The 25,738-nt window shown below is 37.0% G+C and overlaps 1 protein-coding gene across 4 annotated transcripts, besides 2 other annotated features; it reads left to right on the top strand.

Moving 5' to 3' along the window:
* Nucleotides 10–25,653, top strand: UBA3 (ubiquitin like modifier activating enzyme 3). 4 transcript variants are annotated; one of them, NM_003968.4, is made up of 18 exons: nucleotides 18–49; nucleotides 230–271; nucleotides 2,465–2,585; nucleotides 4,873–4,953; nucleotides 8,766–8,848; nucleotides 12,375–12,455; nucleotides 16,272–16,315; nucleotides 16,880–16,944; nucleotides 17,246–17,401; nucleotides 18,204–18,306; nucleotides 18,456–18,569; nucleotides 23,074–23,127; nucleotides 23,568–23,604; nucleotides 23,690–23,771; nucleotides 24,100–24,200; nucleotides 24,320–24,383; nucleotides 24,478–24,532; nucleotides 24,858–25,653. In NM_003968.4, the coding sequence occupies exons 1-18, from the start codon at nucleotides 30–32 to the stop codon at nucleotides 24,944–24,946; spliced, it is 1,392 nt and encodes a 463-aa protein (NP_003959.3). In that variant the 5' UTR covers nucleotides 18–29; the 3' UTR covers nucleotides 24,947–25,653. The 4 variants fall into 4 exon arrangements, with proteins under 4 accessions (XP_011532512.1, NP_001350790.1, NP_003959.3 ...); XM_011534210.2 differs by lacking the exon at nucleotides 4,873–4,953 and having other exon boundaries at nucleotides 10–49; NM_198195.2 differs by lacking the exon at nucleotides 230–271.
* Nucleotides 100–189: a silencer, noted in NCBI's record as "silent region_14517". NCBI's record gives its function as "represses an Ori minimal core promoter by ATAC-STARR-seq in GM12878 lymphoblastoid cells {active_cell/tissue: GM12878}" and the evidence as "EXISTENCE:reporter gene assay evidence [ECO:0000049][PMID:35858748]".
* Nucleotides 310–539: a silencer, noted in NCBI's record as "silent region_14516". NCBI's record gives its function as "represses an Ori minimal core promoter by ATAC-STARR-seq in GM12878 lymphoblastoid cells {active_cell/tissue: GM12878}" and the evidence as "EXISTENCE:reporter gene assay evidence [ECO:0000049][PMID:35858748]".
* Nucleotides 25,654–25,738: the final 85 nt, after the last annotated feature.

Raw genomic sequence — 25,738 nt, 5'->3', positions numbered from 1 at the left:
TGGGCACCTGGGAAGAGGCGGAGAACAATATGGCGGATGGCGAGGAGCCGTAAGTACCGGGGCTCTGCAGACGCGCCGGGCTGGGCTGGGTTGTGAGAGAGCGCGGCGGTGGGCGGTTGCCGCCGCCACCCGGGGTCCCCACACCCCCCGCCCCGTCCCCTCGCCCCCCTCCCCTCGCGGCGCCCAGTGTGTAGCGCGATGCTGACCCTTCTTTTATTCTCTCTTTTAGGGAGAAGAAAAGAAGGAGAATAGAGGAGCTGCTGGCTGAGAAGTTAGTGCTGCCGGGAGGCCGGGGCCCTCTCCGGGGACCCCCGCCTCCCCCCACCCCAGGCCTAGGGGACCAGCCGCAGCGGGCCCGGGGGGCTGGGAGGGGGACACCCGGAGCGCAGGCCGCGCTGCCTCATCCCCTGATCCCCGCCCCGCAGCCCCGGGGGCCTGGCGGGCCGCTCCCGGTATCTGCCCGGTGCGGGCGTCGGGGCCAGGCTGTACTGCCCCAGCTCCTGCAGGGGCCCTCCGGGGTGCTTGACGTAAAGGTCTTGAGGAAGGACCCTTGTGCACTCCTCTTCCTCCATCCCAAATTGTCAGAGCAGTGACCCTGTGAAAAGGCAATCTACCTTAAACACACAGGAAAAGGACACAAGACCGTTTTGTGGCCTTTTGCAAACACTGAGACAGTAGTACTAATTGCAAACTTTTAATGATAACTCTACATGTCAGGTATTGTACTAAGCACTCCAGTCATTTTGGCAGAATAATTGGCTCTTAAAAGATCTGGAAAGAGGTTGTTGACTTCAAACAGCCTATTTATCCCTTTTACTACACACCCTATTTCTTATCAGATGCTTAATTCTATGCTGGTGAGACAGATTTAATCGAAGTGTTTTCTAACCTGGCCAGCGCCACATAATTTACTCCCCTCCCTGCCTGGGCAGGGAAAAAATACTCTTGCATTGGTTATGGTGAGTTTGTAAATTTCCGTGCCGATTCCCAGTAGCAGTGCTTTGATCTTTATGTGTGTCCCTCAGTTGAATTTCAGCTGCAAGAGGACCGGGATGACAAACTTAATTTCACATTCTTTCCTGCCTTTTATTTCCCTCCCACTTTTACATGAAATCACAATTAAACATTGCTTACCATATCCCACGTACTGTACTGAGTCTTCTGTGTGATTATCTATATCCTCATGGCTGAAAGAAGTAGCTATGAACGGCCTGCAGATGAGGTTTATGTCTATTAAGTAATCTGCTCAAGGTCACAGTGCTGTTAATTGTGGAACCCAACACAACTCTGACATCAAAACGTATGGTTTTTATTGCTAGGCAATACTTCTTGGTCCCTTTTGTAAAAATTGGATATTACTAATATATTTGACGGTAGAAACTGTGGAGTTATAGGAAATTAGAAAATTAAAAATAATCACAACCAAACGTGAATCTTAACTAAGTATAAAATAGATGAATTTTGTAGAGGAGTCCCACCTTATTCTGTTGTATGTTCTAAAAGGTTTGTAGATGTCTATCTGTGGCGTAATTGTAATCTGAAACTTTGTGTTTAGTGGCAAGAAAAGCCGTCCCACAGCATTAAGAGATTCTTTAAAAAATTAAGACCTCTGCCAGGTTCGGTGGCTCATGCCTGTAATCCCAGCACTTTGGGAGGCCGAGGTGGACGGATTACTTGAGCTCAGGAGTTTCAGACCAGCCTGTGCAACATGGCGAAACCCGTCTCTACTAAAAATACAAAAATTGGCTGGGTATGGTGGCATGTACCTGTAGGCACAGCTACTTGGGAGGCTGAGGCAGGAGAATCACTTGAGCCCAGGAGGGCAAGGCTGCAGTGAGCTGCAGTCACACCACTGCACTCCAGCCTGGGCAACACAGTGAGACTCTGTCACAAAAAAAGAAAAAGAAAAAGAAAAAATAACCTTATTTCTGAGAAAAGTGTGTGAAAATTCCTCTCATCAAAGTGATTTTTAGATTACACCTTTGGAAAGGACACATAAATATTAAATTTGCATCAGACATATAAGCATCAGAATTCTGAAAGTGTGACTTTTTTTCTCTGTTGTATCTCATATTTCCTAATGCAAGTGTGATGAAACAACAGATTGAGGAAGCTTGCAGTGTTTTTTTTGTAAATACCAAATGTAGAGAAGTCAATTTCTCACATAATAGACCAATATCCTAAGTTGAACCTTGGATTGCTTTAGGAAACCAAAAACATGTAGACTGATTTATTTCATCCATTGGGTGAAATAAAAATAGAAACGTGCAGTTCTTAACTTTAAATGAATTGTATAATAGGCAAGAAAAAATTTCAAAGCATAAACATAATCACATTGAATATTTTCCTTTTTATTTGAGCAGGTCTGGTGTGGTTACCTTTTCATTTGGGGATACCATAATAGTTGTAGGTGTGGTTTTTTTCATACTGATCTTTGCAGCTGAATTTACTGTGTTCTGTGCAGAATGGCTGTTGATGGTGGGTGTGGGGACACTGGAGACTGGGAAGGTCGCTGGAACCATGTAAAGAAGTTCCTCGAGCGATCTGGACCCTTCACACACCCTGATTTCGAACCGAGCACTGAAGTGAGAAACGTTTATTTTTAAATAACTGCTCTAATAGTTTTATGTTTCAAAACTAATAGAATGCTTCTTTTTTAATTTGCTCTTACAATGAAAATACTAATAAAATTGTTTTGTGAAACTAAATTTTTCTTAAAATATGAGATTGAATATTCACAACTGATTTTGTTTGAATATTTGAGTCTTAACATTTCTCATGTAATATAAGTTGAAAATTTTTGTGAGAAAAATCTAACTTCATGACCTCATGTAAAAATTTAAAATGCTTTCTGAAACATACTCCCCTTTTGTAGTGCTACTGTGAGAAATTAATTTTGATAGGAGTATAGGTGTGCTTACTTAAATTTTGAAATTTAGTTGGAATGAACATCTTAGCTTTGAGTATAATTAATTGCATGTTAAGAATTATGTAAGTACTAAATAATAGAGGCGTAGAATTTTGGACTGATAGTGTCTATCTTAAGGCAAGTGTTCACTTATATGTCACTTTTTTTTATTACAGGGTAGGGAAAAGTATAGCACATCTTTATGTGCTTTTGTATTTATAAAAAGATAGTATTTTGAAATAGAAATATTGTGTTACTCCCATAAATTAACGTGCAAACTCTTGGTTTGGCCCAGTGTCTCATGTGAATAACTTTCTCCTTTAATGCTGGGCAGAACTGAAAGCATTAAAAATAAAAAAAAAAAAAAGAAAAAGAATTGAAAGTATTAATTCTGTCTTTCTTTAGATAACACACCATATTTTCTTGTGCTTCTAAATTTTTTTTTTTGCCTGATAATTTAAGATTGTTACTTCTGTTAAATGATTGTATTTCTGCTGATAAGGAATTTTCTAAGAGTTTTATATGTTTTCGTGTTATCTCATGTTTTGTGAGTTTCGCTCACTTTATTCAAAAGGAGATGTTGGCCAGGTAAGGTGGCTCACGCCTGTAATCCCAGCACTTTGGGAGGTCAAGGCGGGAGGATCACTTGAGCCCAAGAGTTCCAGACCACCCTGGGCAACATAGAGAGAACCCATCTCTAAAAAAAAAAAGAAAGAAAAAAAGAAAAGAAAAAAAAATTAGCTGTGCATGATGATACATGTCTTTGGTTTCAGCTACTCAGGAGGTTGAGGTGGGAGGATTGCTTGACTGCACCTGGAGGTGGAGGCTGCAGGGAGCTCTGATCATGCCACTGCACTCCAGCCTGGGTGACACAGTGAGACCCTGTCTCAAAAAGGAAAAAAAAAAGCAGCTGTTACTCTTTCCCCTTCCATCTGCCGCAGATGGAGTTTTGCTTTTGTTGCCCAGGCTGGAATGCAATGGTGTGATCTTGGCTCATGGTAACCTCTGCCTCCCAGGATCAAGTGATTCTCCTGCCTCAGCCTCCCAAGTAGCTGGGATGACAGGCGCCCACCACCACACCTGGCTAATTTTTTATATTTTTAGTAGAGACAGGGTTTCACCATGTTGGTCAGGCTGGTCTTTCCTGACCTCAGGTGATCCACCCACCTCAGCCTCCCAAAGTGCTGGGATTACAGGTGTGAGCCACAGTGCCCAGCCCTGTTACTCTTTTTACCTTATTGTTTTACTCCTTTAAACACTTTGGGCAGTGCTTGATCCTCTGTTTTTTAAATTTTTAAACTTTTATATTTTTAGGAAGTCAGTTAACTGAATTTGATGTTCTCTATCCCTTTGCAAAAATTAAAAAACAAATTAGAGATAGTTTTCCTTGTTAAAAATACCCTTTAACTTTCATACAATAAAAGGCAATTTAAAAACATTAATGGCCGGACGCGGCACCTCATGCCTGTAATCCAAGAAACTTTGGGAGGCTGAGGCGGGCGGATCACTTGAGGTCAGGAGTTCAAGGCCAGTCTGGCCCACATGGTGAAACCCTGTATCTACTAAAAATAAAAAATTAGCCAGGTGTGGTAGTGCACACCTATAATCCCAGCTACTCGAGAAGCTGAGGCAGGAGAATCACCTGAATCTGGGAGGCGGAGGTTGCAGTGAGCCGAGATCCCATCAGTCACTCCAGCCTGTGTGACAAGAGCGAGACTCCGTCTCAAAAAAAAGAAAAAAAAAAGAAAAATTAACATTGAAACTTCCTGAAATCATTAGAGTTTTAGAATTCCTGGTTCAATAGAATTCACAAATTTCAAATAATTGAGCAAATACAAAGTCTCCTCTTTATCCTAGTGGCATTTTTTCCTGGAAACATCAGAAACTATTTTAAAGTTTGTTGCTTTATTTATAGTCTTTGCGGTTATCACCCAGCTTTTAATATGCCTTTCCATTCTTTACAGTCTCTCCAGTTCTTGTTAGATACATGTAAAGTTCTAGTCATTGGAGCTGGCGGCTTAGGATGTGAGCTCCTGAAAAATCTGGTAATATATATACATATATATATAAATATTTTTTTCTTCTTTGTGATAAGTAAACCTTACTTATCTGTCATACTAGGGAATTTCTCGTGATTCTTAACCTTTTCTCTTGAGCCTTTGTTAGATAAGTTTAGCATGCCAAATTCCAAACAGTAATTAAAATGGTAGAACTTTGGAACTTTTTAAATTCTAAAGCTCTCAGCTATAAAGTTATTGATAAAATTTCATACTTCAGTTTTCTTCTCTGATCTTTAACAAACAACTTTTGGTGCTTCCTCTGGCAAAACGCTCCTAACTTCAATGAAGTAAATAACAAAACTGGCAATTCATATTTTAATGTATAGTTTCAAATAATTTATTATTTCTTTTGCTTCCCCAAATAACCCAGCTAGGTGGGTAAGGCATTACCCCATTTTATATAGAGGGAGACATTGAGGTTTAGAGATGTTGACTGAGTTGCTGAAGTTTTTGTGGATTATAGCGATTTGCCTGGAATTGAATCCAGGTCATCAGTTCTTAGTTAAGTGTTCTTTTTCAGTGAACCATTAGGTCATTTTATGACCTAATAAGACGATTGTGGACACCTAAGGTTTGGGAAAGCTAAACCTTTACTGAACTTATTTGCATATATTTAGAAATAAATTAAGTATATAATTTGATTTAATTAATTGGTTTCCTTGACTTTTTCTAATCACAAAGTCGCTTTCTATAAATTTTAATGAGTTTATGTAACAAATGAGTAGAGGCAGAATTGGTTTAGAGTTGTATGCTAGGCTTCTCACTGCTGTGTAGAAAAGTGGAAATGCTGGAATAGACTCTTTAGAAAATAAAGCAGGTCACAGCCAGATGGAGGACCCAAATAATTGGCCAAGGGGGTTAAAGTTTAAATATAAACATAGCCACATTAATTTTGTTAAGAAACACTAATGTCGCTTGAGTGAAGTTGTAAAAACTTAAATATACTTCACTGTATTTAATGTCTTGCTGGGTTCTGTGGGGATTATATGTCATCGTGGTCTCTGTCTTCAATCAATCTGAAGTTTCATTGGGGAGATAAATCTCACATGAAATAAATAGCAGTATGCATGATATACTCTGTGGTGGAATGCCAAAATGACAGTACCGTATCAAACATAAATACTCTAGCAGTGTGAGAACCAAAGACTTAGAGAAGGAAAGGGTTTATGGAGGATGGGCATTGGTTTTTGTTAGGTATTATAAATGTACAAGTTTCCTAAAGCTTATTAAATTTTGAAGCCATTATTTGCAAATGTGACATTTACTAATTTTAAGTGTAAAATAATTGAAGATTAGATCTGAAGATTAGTCACCAAGCAACTTTAAGGAGTGACCTCTTCTTTATTGCATTATAGTAATCTTTTACACAAAAGAAGAAAACTAAGGGTTTTCAATTTTACTCCTTGTTTTGCTTATTTAATTCATTGTAAGCCCCCTAAAGGCTCATTCTAACAAAAAAGAATATGATACTAGACTGGGCATGGTGGCTCACACCTGTAATCCCAGCACTTTGGGAGGCCGAGGCAGGCGGATCACAAGGTCAGGAGATCGAGACTATCCTGACTAACACAGTGAAACCCCGTCTCTACTAAAAAATACAGAAAACAAAAAATTAGCCGGGCGTGGTGGCAGGTGCCTGTAGTCCCAGCTACTCGGGAGGCTGAGGCGAGAGAGTGGCGTGAACCCGGGAGGCAGAGCTTGCAGTGAGCCGAGATCACACCACTGCACTCCAGCCTGGGCAACAGAGCGAGACTCCGTCTCAAAAAAAAAAAAAAAAAGATACTAATATTACTGATTGAGCAAATATTTATTGAGCCTCCATCCCATATGCCAAGCACCATTTTAGATGCTGAAGATACAGCATTGAACAAATACAGAAAGGTGTTTGCATTGGTGGGACTCACATTTTAGTTGAATGAAAAAGTAAGTATATAGTATGTCAAATGGTGTGAAGGGAAAAGGTTTACAAAAAGGTGCTATTGAGTACAAAGGTGAGCAAATGAGCCATACAGTTATCTGTAGGAAGAATATTCTAGTTAGAGAGAATAACAGGTACAAAGCTGTGAAGTGGAGCACTCCTGTTTGTTCAAGGACTGCAAGGAGGCTATCATCGCTAGAGCAGAAGTGGGTTGGGGGAGCATTTTTGGAGACCATATCAGACAGATAATGGGAGATGGAGGGGCTTGGAGTGGATATCACAAAAGACTTTGGAGGTTACTGTAAGTGCTGTCGCTTTTACTCTGAGTCATGAAGTCATTGGAGAGATTTATGCAATGAGAGACTTGATTGGCTTTTCACCTAGGTTACTGAGGCTGATGCATTGAGAATAGACTAAGGGAAGAGCAGAGAGGGGGAAGAAACAGAGAGACTAATTAGATTATTATAGTCCTCTAGACAAGAGACAACGTGACTTGAAACAGGATGGTAGCATTGGATGTGGTGACAGGTGGTCAGATTATGGATATATTTTGAAGATGGAATCAACAGGATTAGCTGATGGATTGGTGGTGTGCTGTGAGAGAAAGGAATCGAGGATGATACAACAAGGTTTTTGCTCTAGGGGCGGGCACCTGGAAAGATGGAGTTACTGCAATGAGGAAGTTACTGCAATGAGGAAGATCTGGAAAAGAACAGATTTGGTTGTTGTGAGCAAGGGTGATCAAGTTTGGTTTTGGAAACTGTTAAGTCTGAGATGTCTGCTAGATGGTCTATATCTTACAAGATGGTCTGAGATCACCAGAACAAAGCACAAGGCTACTCCGAATTCTGGCCAGTAAAGTAGGAAGAAAACTGAATGAACTGGAAACCAATTTTTAAAAAGTGTTTAAATTCTCATGAGTGTGGTGACCAACTGAAGAACATGTTTTAGGGTGGAGGAAGTGACCCACCCAGCCTAATACCTCAGAAAGGTAAGGTCAGATAGATTGAGAATTGGTCATTGGAGTTAGCAACACGGAGGTTATTGGTGAACTTGACAAGTACAGTTTCTGTGGAGTTTGAGAACAGTCAGGACTTTGAAAGCACAAATATGGATAAGTCTTGAAGATCTCTTGGTATATAGGGGGACAGAAAAATGAGGAAATTATTGTCAAGTTATTTGATCATCGAAGTAAACTGACCAAGACCAGAAAAGTTAGTTATTGAGACTTATTTTTTTCAGTTTTTTGCATCTGCTGCTAAATTTGAATGTGGTTGTACTGTTCAGAATGCATGGCATTATTATGGAAACCTAACAGGTTTTTTGTTTTTTGCCTTTCCCTGCTTTTTAAATTGCATGCTCTTGATTCAATATCTTTTAAGATACTCCTTTTACAAATACAGCCTACCCATGTGTGTGTTTTTATAATATATGTCTTATAATAGTTACCATTTCTGAATTGTGGCATGCTTAATATTAAGTAAACTAAAATAAAGCTTGTAGAATTGCTTTTAACAATATTTTGAAAAAATAATAGCAAGCATAGTAAAATTAAAGTATCCATCAATAGCAGCAAAGCAACAAATTTTACAAATGTGTTTATGGAATTATATATATATGTAAAATAGTTTCAATCCGTAGAAATTTTGAGTTGTTCTCTTTTGGTTATAGATTATTTGAAACTGAGTGATTGTACACTTTTGACCTGTTCAAGAACTCTGAATTTTATATACCTTGCAAGAGTCTTTCAGCCATTGAATACAAATTACACAGAATTTATTACTGAGAATTTGTAGACTTAAGACTACATTGAAAACAAATGTTACGTTTTTAAATGTGAGGAAACTTCTGCTTAATTGGATTGTTTTTATTCCCACAGGCCTTGTCTGGTTTTAGACAGATTCATGTTATAGATATGGACACTATAGATGTTTCCAATCTAAATAGGCAGTTTTTATTTAGGTAAGTTTTAATATCTTAGCGGTTTTCTTTTTTTAAGCTCTGATAATCATTTGAACTTGTACATTGCAGTTTAATAATTTTTAAAAATGACTTGAGAGGATAATACTAATTTTATTTTAAAAAACAAAAACTACCATTCCCATTGTAGGTAAAGTTTTGTAAGAAAATTTTGGGCATCTTGGTGATAGTAGTTATGTAAACAAATACATGTTTTTGTTTTTTCGAAGAAGTCTCCTTCCAAAGGTTTATGTGATTTTTGGGAATATCCTCAGGTTAACTGTGCTCTGAAGAAAGGAAAGAACGGTAGCTCTTCCTCCAGTTGATGTCAGAAGAGAATACTCGCTGGAGTATTAGGCCCTAGTGAGAGATTGGCAGGGATTTGTGAGCCAAGGTTTGAATGGTGACTGGAGCAATAAAGTTGGGAAAGAGTTTGAGCTTTTCCTACAAGGGGAAAGAAAATGGAAAGTCGAGGAGAGAAAAACCAGAACCAATTGGAATGGAACAAAGAGGGATGGTTACCTTAGGCATATATGGAATATAGAGAACATCAAGGAGTGATTTGTTAAAGATGAGTTTAAGAAGAGAAGTAGAGGCCAGGCATGGTGGCTTACACCTGTAATCCCAACACTGGGAGGCTGAGGTGAGAAGATTGCTTGAGCCCAGGAGATCCAGACCAGCCTGGGCAACAAAGGGAGATTTCGTCTCTACAAAAAAATTAAAAAATTAGCCGGGTGTGCACCTGTGGTCCCTGCTGCATGGGAAGCTGAGGTAGGAGGATCGTTTGAGCTCAGGATCTGGAGGCTGCAGTGAACTGTGTTCATGCCACTGTACTCCAGCCTGGGCAACAGAGCGAGACCCTGTCTCAAAAACAAAAACAAAACAACCCAAAAAACAAAAACTGAAGTAGACCATGTATCCAGACATGAAGAAATGTTCATTCATGAATTTAGTATGTAATATTGAGGGGTTTGAGTAGTTTAGGTAAAAGTGTATATTTGTTAGTCAAAGATACACAGAGATAAGGACTTTTTTTTTCTCTCTCTATTTAGGAAGTTTGCATCTGTTACTGACAGTGCTCAAATTGTTCTGGGTATATAGGATAAAGTTGAGCTAGCAAAAAAGGTAACATTAAGTTTTTGGATAGGCATAAAACCTCTACATTATCTTTGTGGAAGATCTTAATGGGACTGAAGTATGGATTAAAATAAGTTAATGAAGTGTTGTAATTGCAGTGTGACCCTTAATGTTTAACTTTTAAGCTTTATTTTTTGTTTATTTTTTAACCTTTGAAATTTCCCTTCTCTATAGCAAAGTTTGTGGGCTCTGTCCAGCTTGTCAAATTTTGAGTTGTGAATTCTCTGAAAAAGATACCACTGAATTGATTTGTTATTGATACAGGCCATACCCTTTAATTTGTGGCTAAAATGGTTGAAGATGGTAATAACGATATGTAGCAAGTACTTCTAAACTATCCATATTATTCCATTTAATCTCAGCAACCTCAGGGTAGGTTCTTGTGTTCAAGGTTAAATAATTTGGGCAGAGTGTCCTGCAAGGATGATGTGTGTGAAAGGCCATTTTATTGAGGTGGAGCAATCTGATTGTTTCATCCTGGAATGGTAAATTAACAAACAGTTCCCAGAAACCATCTAGGAGTTCTTTTGTTTGGGCCGTGCCATAAAAGCACATAGAATATATTACTTAAAATAATCTTAGAAGTCTACTTTATCCCTTTTACAAACCAAAAGAGCTTTCTGTGTGTGGAGCCATTGAATGCAATACTGAAATTAAGTTCTTTGATTTATAACAGGGCCTTTTTTATGTAAGTTAGTACAAAGTGAAGATAAAACATTTACCAAAAGTTTTGAATCAAAAAAGAACAGTGCTTTATTGGAGAGAAAAAAAATTGGCCTGGCATGGTGGCTCATGCCTGTAATCACAGCACATTGGGAGGCTAAGGTGGGCGGATCACTTGAGGTCAGAAGTTCGAGACCAGCCCGGCCAACACGGTGAAACCCTGTGTCTACTAAAAATACAAAAATTAGCCAGGCGTAGTGACTCATGCCCGTAGTCCCAGCACTCTGGAGGCTGAGACAGGAGAATTGTTTGAATCTGGGAGGCAGAGGTTATAGTGAGCCGAGATTGTGCCACTGCACTCCAGCGTGGGTGACAGAGCGAGACTCTGTCTCAAACAAACAAAAAAAAAGAAAAGAAAAATTGACATGCTAAAGTGTTTTTCTTTGAAATTTCAGATTTTTTTCTAATAAGCACACGATTTATTATTTTCATTTATTTTAAAAGTATTTACTGTGTGCTAGGTAGGAAGGAATATGAAGAGAGTAAGAACATGGTCACTTTCATCCAAATAATAGTCTAGTGGGTATGATAGACGTGTATGTAGCAAATATGTTACGAAAAAAGTAATAATGTTCTTATTATATACATGGAGTGATTTCTCTGAGGAGAATATGGAAATATTAGGAAAGAAAATACCATTTGTATAGAACTTAGAGGAGGAAATTCATATCCTTTCCTATCTATATGTGTGGTTATTGTTTTAAGAGTGACCTTTTGAGGCCTTATATATTCAGCTTCTGTGATGTAATAGTAACATTTGCAATTTTAGCTGACACTTTTGGTATTATTCTTTCTTTAAAAACTTGGTGCCGGGCATGGTGGCTCATGCCTGTAATCCCAGCATTTTGGGAGGCTGAGGCGGGCAGATCACCTGAGGTCAGGAGTTCGAGACCAGCCTGACCAACATGGCAAAACTAAAAATACAAAAACTAGCTGGTTGTGGTGGCAGGCACCTGTAATCTCACCTCCCTAGAGACTGAGGCATGAGAATTGCTTGAACCTGGGAGGCGGAGGTTGCAGTGAGCCGAGATCGCACCACTGCACTCCAGCCTGGGTGACAGAGTGAGTGAGACTCCGTCTCAAAAAGAAAAAAGAAAAAAACGTGGTTACAGCCTCTTTTTTTTTTTTTTTTCCATTTTATATACGGTCCAGTGAAATTTTTTTTTTCTTTTTTTTTCTTTTTCATGCAGCTTCTTAGGGGACACAAAATTTGCTGCTTAATCAGCACACACAGGAAGAAGGGGTTAAATGAAGGTTCTTGCATCCCAAGGATGAATCTTATTGTGTATATTTCAGCCAAGACCTGTGGAGTAACACCATAAGGTTCTGAGCTCTAAGAGTGGGATAATTTTTTACAGTGGAAAGTGGCCAGGAATCATAGCATTATTATGCTTTATCTGGGAGGAAGAACACTGTTCAGATTTTCTCTTAATTAAAGCAATACTTAATTAGACTTATGTTAATTTGGACCATTAGCAAGGGTTGACATTTAAGGTTAAATGACCGTTTACCAAAAGTTATTACTGAAATCAAAATACTTAGGCAAAAATATTCCTTCTAAATTTCCTATAAGTAAACTTACTGTGAATTTACTTTTATGTTTGAAAATAAGTTATGTAGATCATATAGATTTATAATATGAATTATAATTTAAATATTTTTCCTGTAGGCCTAAAGATATTGGAAGACCTAAGGCTGAAGTTGCTGCAGAATTTCTAAATGACAGAGTTCCTAATTGCAATGTAGTTCCGTATCCTTTTGACAAAAAGAAAATTACTTAATTTTTAAAAGCTTTTTTCCTTTATTATAAGAGATATTTAACAGAGAATACAGATAAGCAAGAGGGAAAAAAAGTCAGCAGTAGTAACTTTATTACTGAGATAACTGCTGGTAACATTTTGCTATCTATTCTTCCAGTCTTTTCTGTATGGTTATATAAATATTTTTTGGGCCCTGATTTTTAACTTAAGTTTATAAAGCCTGTTTCATCATCTACTTTATTTTGCATTATTGCCCTTAATTTCAGTATCAATTACATATCTCCTTTACTAGAGTGTAAATTCCTAGGCTGGATCCAATTAATCTTTGTTTCTTTATAGTAGCAGACAGAGTAGACAGTCAATATAGTATTAGCCAAATGGAAGGTACATCACAGTAAATTTATTTTTACAAGAAATATGTTTTTAAAAAGGAGTATTTACACTGTAGTTTGAATTTAGATCTGGAGAACTTTTGGCATTTTATAGAAAGTCAGAAGATGTGATTTCTATGTAGAAAGTCCCACAGAATACAAAATCAACATACCGGTGAACTTGTGAAAGTTAATGTAAAATACAATGCCATTTACAACTGCTTAGAAAGAAAAATAAATACTTAGATGTAAACTACAAGATAAGTAAGAGATTTATATAGTGAAAAACTACAAAATGCTGATGAAAGAAACCAAAGAAAATCTAAATAAATGGAGAGATAGTCCATCTTCAAAGATTGGAAGATTAAATATAGTAAAGATGTCATTTCTCCCTAAATTTGTATACATATATACCATAGTTTCTATTAAAATCCCAGCAAAATTGTCGATATAGACGATCTTCTAAAATTTTATATAGAAAAGCAAAGGAATACCTACTACAAATCTGAAAAAGAAAGTGGGAGGAATCACTATCCAAATTCTAGACTTATATAGCTATAGTAATCCAGACTCAGTGGCGTTACCAGAGGGATATATAGATGACTAGAACAGAATAGGGAAGCCAGAAATAGCCCCATATAAGTATGGCCAATTTGTTTTTGATAAAGGTGCAAAACAGTTCCAATGGAAGAAGCATAGTCTTCAACAAATCGTACTGGAGCAATTTCATATCCATAGTTAAAAGATGAATTTTGACCTAAACATACAAAATTAACTCAAAATGGATTATAGGTGTAAATATAAAATATAAAATGAGCCAGGCGTGGTGGCTCATGCCTGTAATCCCAGCACTTTGGGAGGCCGAGGTGGGTGGATCACTTGAGGTCAGGAGTTCGAGACCAGCCTGGCCAACATGGTGAAACCCCGTCTCTACTAAGAATACAAAAATTAGCCGGGCACAGTGGCTCCCAGCTACTCAGGAGGCTGAGGTGGGAGAATCGCTTGACCCTAGGAGGCTGAGGTTGCAGTGAGCTGAAATTGCGCTACTGCACCCCAGCCTGGGCGACAGAGCAAGGCTCCATCTCAAAAAAACAAAAAAAAACACAAAAAACCATAAAACGATAGAACTTTAGGGTTTGGTGGAGAGTGCTTAGGCCACGTCAAAAGCAAGACCTGTAAAAGGTGGGGTATGGTGGTGCAGATCACTGAGGAAGCAGTGAGCTTTTATCATACCACTACAGAGTCCTGGCTGCTTGGGAGGCTAAGGTGGGAGGATTGCTTGAGACTAGGAGTTTGAAGCTATAGTAGGCTGTGGTCATACTGTGAATAGCCACTGCATTCCAGCCTGGGCAATGTAGTGAGACATCATCTCTAAAAAATTAAAATAATTTTTTGTAAAAGCATGAGCCATAAAAGGAAAAAATTGATACACTGAACTTCATCAAAATTAAAAACTTGCTGTGTGAAAGACCCTCTTAAACGGATGAAGAAAAGCCACAGACTGGAGAAAATACTTGTAAAGCATCTGATGGAGGACTCATATCTAGAGTATATAATGAACTCTAAAAACTCAACAGTAAAACAAAAAAAAATTCAATTAGAAAATAGACAAAAGATAGGAAGAGATATTTTACTAAAAAGGATGACGAAAAGCACATGAAAAGATGTTTCACATCAAACTAAGACCACCATGAGCGATACTGTTACACAACTATTAGACTAAAAAAAAAAAGCCAGTCTCAAAAGGTCATATACTGCATGATTCTGTTTATATAATACTCTTGAAATTACAGAATTATAGAGATGGCTGGGTGTGGTGGTTCAGGCCTGTAATTCCAGCACTTTGGGAGGCTGAGGCGGGAAGATCACTTGAGCCTGGTTGTTTGAGAACAGCCTAGGCAACAAATGAGACCCTATTTCTGTAAAAACTAGAAAAATTACCCGGGCATGGTGGCACATGCCTGTAGTCCCAGCTATGTGGGAGGCTGAGGCAGGAAGATCAGTTAAGCCCAGGATGTGGAGGCTGCAGAGAGATCTTTATTGTGGTCGAATAGTTATGTGTGTTGCCTGGGGTGGTGGTTACACAAATCTATGTGTGTTTAAATGACAGAATTATAAACACACATTGTACCAATGTTCTGTTCATGGTTTTGGTACTGTACTATAGTAAGATGTAACTGGGAAAGGTGCATGGTACCTACCTATACTATCTGTGCAACTTACTGCGAATCTATATTATTTCAAAATAAAGAGCTTAAAAATGCAAATACAGGCCCCTGTAGGGAAAAAGGAAGAGTTGGTGGGGGTGGGTTGGTTAGTGGGGGGCACTCAGTTTGTCTATCCCCATTATGTGGGTCTGGGAAACTTTGGGTATTTTCTAGAAATCCAGATTAGATTTCTTAGTCTGGCTCTTGGTTCCCTGATTGCCATTCCTCCACTGTTTGCTTTGTTTCTTTTTTGACCTCTTTCTAGCTGTAGCTTCGTTCTCCTGCTTGCCTAGCATTCAAAGGGAATAGAGGTCTGAATGACTGAGGGCTAGAATTGAAATTATTGTTCATAGCTTTATTTGTAGGCAAGAATTAAAAATCTAGAGGAAGCATGTATTGTCCCTTTTTTCTATGTATTGTCCCTTTTTTCTCTGTATTGCTTTTAAAAAATTTATAGTGGACTATTTATCTTAACTTTAGAGAAGTTGCATAATTTATAAATTATTAAACAATTGCTCCATTCATTAGAAAAATTAAAACAAGTTTTTGCACACATGTGCTATTAAAACATTAAGTGCTATATTGACTCACCCACAATCAGTTTTGAATGGAGTTTCCTTTTTAGCCTCCAGGGATGGGAAGACTGGTAATAGGATTTGGTAGGGTAACTTGAAAACTGAGTTAAATGAGAAAGGTAGAAAAAATTCGTACTTTTTCTCCTCCCCACAAAAAATAAAAACAGTAAAATCTTTACCAACTGAAAAAGCTGTTGAAATTTTCTGTATGTTAAAAAAATGAGCTTTGCAGTAACTCTTAAAATCACCTAGCAAAATAGGAACTATAATGTGCATCTTTCCTTCACTAAAACATTTATTGCATCTCTTCTTGATGCTGATGATTGAGGACACACATTCTGCTTTCCTGGGGCTTATGGTTTTATATAAAAACCAAAGCAAAGTAGAAAGTATACCTCCTACCAAGGGCATAAATATAATGATATAGGGGTTCAGGAATGAGAAAAAGTAAGTAGTTAGGGGAGGAATGGCAGAAAAGTTTTGTCAGAAAGGAGAGTTGTGTTCATTTAGTCAGATTCCTTGAATTCCACTGATGTGAACATTGATTACTTATTTCTTGTTGTAAATATATGCAGAGTGTGTTCCTTATGGCATTGTCAAATTCATTTTAGAAATTAAAACTTAGCTGCTTAAGTTCCTTTACTTGTATTCAGACATTTCAACAAGATTCAAGATTTTAACGACACTTTCTATCGACGTAAGTTTTTTACTTGAAATTAATGCTCACTAGATTCTTAGAATTTTTTAGTTGGTAGCTATTCAAATATTGCTAGCTATTTCAAGGCTATTTCTTCACTTGCTTTCCTCTCTCACTGTTGGCTTTTCAGTAATGTTGCTGATAGACTGAAAAGAGAATGCTAGTTTTAGCTGACATGACCAGCTACAAGTTTCTATGCTTACCTGAATGAGAGTTCACTCAAGGAATTGGAGCTCTGAGAACGTATGTGGGATTACAGTAAAAAGTGCTTGTGGTTTTTTTGTTGGTTTCTTAGAACGTGCAAATTGTTTTCTGCAAGTGCTTTTTTTTTTTAATTAGTAAACTTTATTTTTTAGGGCAGTTTTATGTTCACAACAAAATTGAACAGAAAATTTTTGAAAACTTGGGTTCTCATAGAGCTTCCTGTTCCCACAAACACACTACCTTCCTAATCAACATCTTGCACCAGAGTGGTACATTTGTTGCAGTTGATGAATCTACATTGAAAGATCATCATGCAACTACATATTTAAAAACTAAAGTTGCTTTTTTTTTTTTTTGTAGAATTTCATATTATTGTATGTGGACTGGACTCTATCATCGCCAGAAGATGGATAAATGGCATGCTGGTAAAGACTTTAGTATTGTTATAGTTCTCTGAAGTTCTTGCTGCTGTGCTTCACATCCCCAAAATTAGAATTGATATATTTTTGAAAAATCAGAGTTTAATTTTTAATTAAGTATATTTACTTCATTGTTTATTGCCAGTCATTGGTTTTCAGGTGAAGACACAAATTGTTATTATAATCCCTTGATTTGATACATTGGTATTCAATAGCACAACCGACTCATAGGATTACTTGAAAGCATACTTCTTCTTTTGAATTCTTATCCCCTTCTCCTTTAAAGCCCTTCAAATTGTTTTCCTAGATATCTCTTCTAAATTATGAAGATGGTGTCTTAGATCCAAGCTCCATTGTCCCTTTGATAGATGGGGGGACAGAAGGTTTTAAAGGAAATGCCCGGGTGATTCTGCCTGGAATGACTGCTTGTATCGAATGCACGCTGGAACTTTATCCACCACAGGTAATCAAAAAAGCACCTGCATTTCTTTTATAGTATCTTGGCATGGAATTAGGGATTAATTATTAAGTCTAGTTAATATTTAGGATTGTTAATTAGAAGTGGCCGTATTTTAAAAATTACACTAAGAAGAAAGATAAAATATGAAATTCTGCTCTATTTGAGGAAAGATATGAACCGAGTACATTGTTTTGATACTATTCTGCTTTCATAATTTATTTGTATTTTTTATTTGGGGAGTAGGTATCAAGTAGAATTACAAAGTTGTATATTGATGTCAAGCTGTAATCTATGTGGTTTTCACCTGTATTTATTTCAGGGAAATAAAGATACCAGGGATAAGAATGATCTTTCCAAGGATGGGGCTTTTTGGTTTACATATCCACTTTAAAGAACACTTGAAATTTTGAATAATAAATGTAAACAATTTTATGAGTATTCACTTGGGATTCACTTAACTCTGAACTTGCTTTTGTTTTGGTTTGCTTTATACTTAAATATTAGGTAAAAATAACAAGGTGTTCATATTTGAGAAAATCTGTTCAGTATTTTTCTTCTCATAGTCTAACAAAGCTTAAATTTTATACCTTGTAAATGTAGGGCAAACCTGTCTTTACAGGCAGTGCAGCCTAAGTGAAGTGACTCAGTTAATCTGTATTATAGTTTGAGAGGCATTTTTAATGGTATACAATATTTTGAGTTGAAACAAATTGTATGAAATTGTTAAGAACTAGATCATAACTGGAAGTTGCATTTTAAAATAATTCGTTTAAAATTCACTGAAAAGGACAAACTGTGGTTTTAGGTTAATTTTCCCATGTGCACCATTGCATCTATGCCCAGGCTACCAGAACACTGTATTGAGTATGTAAGGATGTTGCAGTGGCCTAAGGAGCAGCCTTTTGGAGGTAATAAACCTAATTTAATAATCTAGAATTACATAAAATACATATTTTTTCTATATTATTCCTTTGGATAATTTCATTAAAAACATTGTTTTGTGATTACGTATTCCTGTCTTCTCTCTCTCTCTCTCTCCCTTTTTTTTTTTAAACAGAAGGGGTTCCATTAGATGGAGATGATCCTGAACATATACAATGGATTTTCCAAAAATCCCTAGAGAGAGCATCACAATATAATATTAGGGGTGTTACGTATAGGCTCACTCAAGGTAAGTCAGCAAATTGTCATGAATTATGATGTTGGGATGACTTAGGGCTGGGATGCTTTCAGGAGAATAATCGATAAGTGAGTTTAGACAGTACCATCCACTTGAAGTTCAGTAAAGGTACCATGTAATTCATACTACTTATTAGCTAGGGGGAATTTAATAAAATTATTGAATCTTACTTACTTAGGCTATAAGTCATCCAAGTCAAACTGTCCATTTTATCTTCCACTGAATTCATCATCTCTTAGAGACAGTCTATTTCACATTTGGACAGGACTGTTAGACAAATATTCTATATATTGAACAGAAATTGTCTTCAGGTCAGCTGCGGTGGCTTATACCTGCAATCCTAGCACTTCGGGAGGCCGAGGCAGGCGGATCACCTGAGGTCAGGAGTTCGAGAGCAGTCTGACCAACATGGCAACACCCTGTCTCTACTAAAAATACAAAATTAGCTGGGTGTGGTGGCACATGCCTGTAATCCCAGCTACTCAGGAAGCTGAGGCAGGAGAATCACTTGAACCCAGGAGGCTGAGGTTGCAGTGAGCCTGAGATTGCGCCACTGCTTTCCAGCCTGGGCAACAAGAGCAAAACTTCGTCTCAAAATAGAAATCGTCTTCAGTTTGGTCTGACTGTTGTCCCAGTACTGTATACAGTCTAATTCCCTTTTAAGTAATAGCTTTTAACATATTGAGGACAGTGATCACATCCTTTGCAAATTTTTATCAGTGCCATAAACCTCCCTAGTTAGTTCCTTTAACCCTGTATTAGTTCATTTTGCTTTGCTATAAAGGAATATCTGAAACTGGGTAATTTATTCAGGAAAGAGGTTTATTTGGCTCATGGTTCTGCAGGCTGTGTGAGCATGGCAAAAGCATCTGCTTGGCTTCTGGTGAGACCTCAGGAAGCTTTTACTCGTGAAAGCTAAGGGGGATGGCAAGGCATGTCATATGACGAGAGGGAGCAAGAGAGAGAGGAGGGAATACCAGGCTTCTTTTAATAACCAGCTCTTGCGTGAACTTAATATCACAGGGAGGGCACCAAGCCATGCATGTGGGATCTGCCCTAACGGTCCAAACACCTCCCACTAGGCCTCACCTCCAACACTGGGGATCACATTTCAGTATGAGATTTGGAGGGGACAGATATCCAAACTATATCCAACCCTTTGATATGTTGTACAGCTTCAGGTTCTCATGTTGTTTTTCTGTAACCATATTCCAGCTATCCATATTGGTTAACTGGAATATAGTTAGAGAAAACAACTTTTCCTAATTGTTCAGGCCAACATGCAGCATTATGGGACTGGTCTTAACTTTAGATAATAGACTTCTGATAACTGATGCAGTCTTAAAGGAGAGCAGGTATTTATGTTGTTGTTTTTTTGTTTACATTGATGCTATACTTTGGATTCTTTGATGTTACTAGCCACTGAAAGCTGGATGTTTTGTCCACATATGCAATTGCTAAGCCACATCTGCCTATTATAAACTTGGCAGTTTGGGGAGTGTCTTTTTTTTTTTGTTTTTCTTAATATCCAAGTATAGGTCCTTACAAATGTATTCTTAAAATTCAACCTGTTTTTCTCTCTTTATATGTATTCTGCCAACTTACCTGGTGTTTCTAGCTTCATTTCACCTGTTTTGATAATTATATCCTTTATTTCTTTTTCAAATAATTGATGAAAATTTTTAATAAGACTGAACTCTCTGAGAACAGACATCTGAATCATACTTCTGGCCAGGCCCTTTTAGGTTTATCTCATTCTGTTCATCAGACCTTCTTGGTACTTTGTATTTCTTTATCTTGTTCACAAGGATGTCATGAAAAACCTTTCCAGATCCTCTACTGAAGCCTAGGTATGCTATCTTTTGCATTTTCCTGAGTTGCTAAGTTAGTCATAGTAGCCAAATGAGGCTACTCCAACATGATTTGTCTAGTAACCAGTCATGCTCAATCATAGTGATCAATGTTTCCAATCTAGTTATAGTTTCCTTTTTTAGAATTTTGCCCAAGATCATTACCAGGTTCACCAGAATGAGCTTTGTCTTCTTTTTGAAAATCTGCCATTTCTCTCCTGTGATTATTTCCTTACATTTACTGATCTAGTAATGTCATTTTAAAATTCCATTTATACTTACTCCTTGTTGCCCTCTGCATTCTCCCTACACGGACCTGCTTTGTGTTCCTTGAACACACCAAGTTCTTCTGTACCTTAGAGCTTTAATACTCCCGAGTTCCTACGCCGGGGATGGTGTTTCCTTGGATCCCCTCAGGCTGGCTCCTCATCTCTTAGGTGTCTGCTTAACCAGTTTTCCTAATCATTCAACCTAAAATGACTTCTGAGCCATTCACCATTCTATTTTTTTTGGTAATTGCTCAGAACTGATTAATGGTAGCCTCATTCTCCTATGCAAAGAATATTTCACACTTAAACTATCTTACATCCTTGCCCCAGGACCAGGACCATTGCCATTGCTGTTTACAAACAGCTTTTTCTTCAGGTAATTGCATGGCTGGATCTCTCTCATGGCTTAGGTTTCAGCTCAAGTTATCACCTCTCCAAGGAGGCCTTCCCTGACCATTCTCTCTAATGGACTGCATCCATCATTCTCAGTCTAACACATACCTCATTTTCTTCATAGAACTCTTCAATATCTGAGGTGTTCCAAGTATTTACTTTTGTGTTATCTCCCCTATCAAAATGAAATCACTATACGAGCAGATACTTTTTTTCATTGTTACTATGCACAACACCTAGAACAGTGTCTGGAGCATGTGTTACACATATTTGCTAATTGTTAGAATTAACAAACGAATTCAGTGTGTTCTAACCAGAAACTGTAAACTCCCCATTTTAATATGTAGTCTCATCCATCCTTCTTTACCTTTTACCAGGGCTTGGTGTGTACTTTCTAGGCTGGTGAATGAGGGCCTCAACAAGGAGTACAGAAGGAGAATTGGAAGTGAAGTTGCACAAGCCAGTGGTTCTATCTATTCTATGATTTTTCCCCTTGTTCTCAGTATAACAGAAAGTTGCCTTTCTGCCCACTCTAGCTTTTTTTGGTCGAAGGGCAGGGGTATGGGTGGCAGGGGTTGGAGAAAGAGGGGAGTCCTCATCATTTTGGCAATGTTCTTACTGGGCAGTGTCTCTTACACGCTTCACTGTTTGTGTCTACCACTTCCTCCTTTCAGTACATCCTGCTACATGTGGTTCAGTGGAGAGCTTCCAGTTTAACCATCATGCAGTTTATCTCTTTTTAAATTTCCTCTTCTCCAAAACTATAGAGAATCATATGGTCACAGTCAACTTTTTAAAAAAGCTTTCCAGCCTTCGTAACTGTCTTTCTTTCATGTCTTCTTAGCTACTTGCTGTTTTTCCTTAAGTTTTTGAAACCTGACTATACTTGGAGTCTTGGGAACACATCTTACAGTGTTTCCTCACACTGTGAGATAAAATGGCTACTTTTTCTTGAAGTTTTTGTCTTCTAAAATGAACAATTCAAATATAGTTATAAAATGGAGTATTTATTTTGTACTTTTAAAAAATGGTTTAAGGTGAGGCTTTGTTTATTCCTAATATGTGAATAATACTGATGTGAAAAATGTGAGTCCCAGCACTTTGGGAGGCCAGGGCGGGCGGATCACAAGGTCAGGATATCGAGACCATCGTGGCTAACACGGTGAAACCCCATCTCTACTAAAAATACAAAAAATTAGCCAGGCGTGGTGGCGGGCCCCTGTAGTCCCAGCTACTTGGGAGGCTGAGGCAGGAGAATGGCGTGAACCCAGAAGGCGGAGCTTGCAGTGAGCCGAGATCAGATCACGACACTGCACTCCAGCCTGGGCGACAGAGCGAGACTCTGTCTCAAAAAAAAAAAAAAAAAAAGAAAAATGTGGGGTTGAAGTAGAGAACTGTATTTAATATTTTGTGTAGCCTCGGTTGTAGAGTAAAAGATAATAAAGGGCAGCTTTTCTTTTTTTTGAATGTTTGTGAATCAAGTGACTGAAGCTGTTACAGGAATAATTAGATAACACTTATTCTTCATGGTGTATCAGTTAATATCTGTGTTCATATGCCAACCCCACCTCTTGCTAAGTATATAGCTGTGGATAAATTACTAAATTTCTCTCAGTCTCACTTTTCTTATGTTTAAAATCAGAGTAATTAACATGAAGATGTTGTGAAAATTAAATAATATTTAGTCTTTACATTGTGCCTGGAACATAATACTCTAAATTGTTAACTATTATGATGTTATTGTTTCACCTTTCTATAGCACTTACTTGAGAGAGTTTTCTTTGCTACTGTAGCTTAAGATTCTGAATTTACTACAAAGTGATGGGGATGTGAAAGATTGTTTCATGGTTAAATTTATTTTCTGGCTTGAAAGTCTGAAAAATCAAGTTTTAGAAAATGGTATTTAATAATCATGCCTTCTAATTTAAGAGAACTCTTTTATTTTAAAGAAATGACCATATTTTAATTGATATGTTTTTTCAGGGGTAGTAAAAAGAATCATTCCTGCAGTAGCTTCCACAAATGCAGTCATTGCAGGTGAGGAAGAAAAGGCCATCACTTAGTTTATTTTGCTTTCTTTAGTTTTTGACGTTGCTGCAGCTTTTTTGTGTTGTAGGAATTTGATATCTTCTTGGATGGGTTGTGTAACTAAGCTGTCGAAAAAGAACCAGTTATTAGACTTTGCATATTTTTTGTCTTACATTATGTCTTAAGTTACCTGCAGTAAAGAGACGTTTTAGTTCCATATGAAGCAGGCCATTTATTAATCTGATAAACAAGAAAAACATGTAGTGTTACTCTATTACATGAATCACACAAAACAATGTAAAATTTGTTACTGTCTCAGTTTTTAAAAATTGGAATATGTATTTTTTAATGAAGAGCCAATGTAAATTTATCTGTTCTGATTTATAACTGACTTTTAACATGCCTAATTTCCATTGAGTTAAAGCACCTGTATTTTCTCCTCCCTTCAGCTGTGTGTGCCACTGAGGTTTTTAAAATAGCCACAAGGTAATAGGTTTCATTTTTAATATGCATGTAAATTTATGTTTTGACTTGGTTTAATTATATAAAGATGAACATTTTTTCATTACAGTGCATACATTCCCTTGAATAATTACTTGGTGTTTAATGATGTAGATGGGCTGTATACATACACATTTGAAGCAGAAAGAAAGGTTAGTAGTATTAAGAACACATTTTTGATCATGCATATTTTGATTTTTAAATATTATTGGTTAGAAATTTGAACAAAGTCACCCATACATTTTCTAACTTCCAGAACTCTACTTATTATATATCTTTTGCTTTATAGCCTGAAATAACTCTATAGCGAAGTAATTTACAAGAAATGGTCTATTATGAAAAGCAGGCTTTAAAGCATAAAAATTTTTTTATAGGAAATATGCATGATTATAAAACAACCTGATTTTTATTTTATTGTTCATAAAAGAGACTAATATTGGTGCATGTGCTGCTGTAATTTGTTGTGTATTATGTGTGTAGGAAAACTGCCCAGCTTGTAGCCAGCTTCCTCAAAATATTCAGTTTTCTCCATCAGCTAAACTACAGGAGGTTTTGGATTATCTAACCAATAGTGCTTCTCTGTAAGTATTGTAGATTTTTGTTATGTTGTAAAAATCATTTTTGTGATTTTTGAAACCTTAAAAAAATTATCTTTTGATAAAAATTATGTTTGATACTTCTCTCTCATCATAATCTTTAGGCAAATGAAATCTCCAGCCATCACAGCCACCCTAGAGGGAAAAAATAGAACACTTTACTTACAGGTTATCAATGTGTATTTTAAATTTTTTTCAGAAAATTATATCAAGTTTTATTTTACTTTAATGTGTCTTACATTAAAGTAATTTTGTTTTCTAGTCGGTAACCTCTATTGAAGAACGAACAAGGCCAAATCTCTCCAAAACATTGAAAGGTATTTTACATAAGGGTATTTACTAATCATTTTCTTTCTTTTCTCTCTTTTTGGTGAAAGTAATCAGTGCTTGTTCTAGATTTCCTCTTAATGCCTTGTATATGGTCAGGTAATAATTACTTACAACTTTAGACATATTAATAGAATTAATTGCTCTTTTAGTAGAATATTTTAAAATCTCTAAGAAATCAAATATTACTTTGATTAAAGAGGATTGGATTTTGATGTTTTTCTAGACCGTAATACTCTGTAGTTTGTTTACATGTGTATTATCCTTTCTGTTGAGTTTTTTTTGCTTGTATTAATAATATTTTTTCTGTTTTAGAATTGGGGCTTGTTGATGGACAAGAACTGGCGGTTGCTGATGTCACCACCCCACAGACTGTACTATTCAAACTTCATTTTACTTCTTAAGGAAAATCTCCACATAATAGAAAACTCATGGAAATAATATACTTTGTGGATGCTAAGAAGTTGAATCGATGTCATTTTTAGCAATAGTGTTGCCACGATTTGTCTTTTTTTATATAATGAACCACTCTTTTTTAACTTTGTAACCTTCCCTTGAAGACAGAATTTTGGTGTTGGTGCTTGTAAGCATTTTCATTAATAATATGAGAAATGATACCTGGAGAGAGAGATTATGAGCAAATGTATTGCTTCTTTTAGAGGAGGAAGCATACAACCTCTTTTGTGTGAATTTTGTTATTATGGTCAAAGAATGCATTCCTAAGTTTTCATTTGAGTACCCAAATACACAAAAGGTGTCCCTTTAAGGAAAATAAAGAATTAAGTTTTAAATAACATTACATTTTACAATCTGACATCTGGAGTATATTGAACATAGGCTATTTCTTGATATAACACTCATTTAATTGTGGCCATCCAAATGAATATTATTGCAGAATTTATCTTGTTCATAATGATTTGTAAATGGTGTTATAGCTGAATACCTGTGCATGAAAATGGGCAATATTTTCATCTGTTTACTTGTAGTGCCATAGAGGCCAATATGCACAATATTAACTAATGCCAAGACATGGCTGTTTAAAAAATTTAATGTTCAAACAGTTATCACTGATGCTTTTGCACTATTTATTAATAAAATCATATATTGTGTACTTCTTTCACTGAAGTTTTTAAAAGTACATTAAGGGTAATCAGTAGTTCCATGGTAATATAGGAATAATTTTTAAATGTGTAGCA

Source organism: Homo sapiens, chromosome 3 (genome assembly GCF_000001405.40).
Source record: "Homo sapiens chromosome 3, GRCh38.p14 Primary Assembly".
NCBI classification, from domain to species: Eukaryota; Metazoa; Chordata; class Mammalia; order Primates; family Hominidae; genus Homo; species Homo sapiens.
This window is presented reverse-complemented; position numbering and strand designations above follow the sequence as displayed.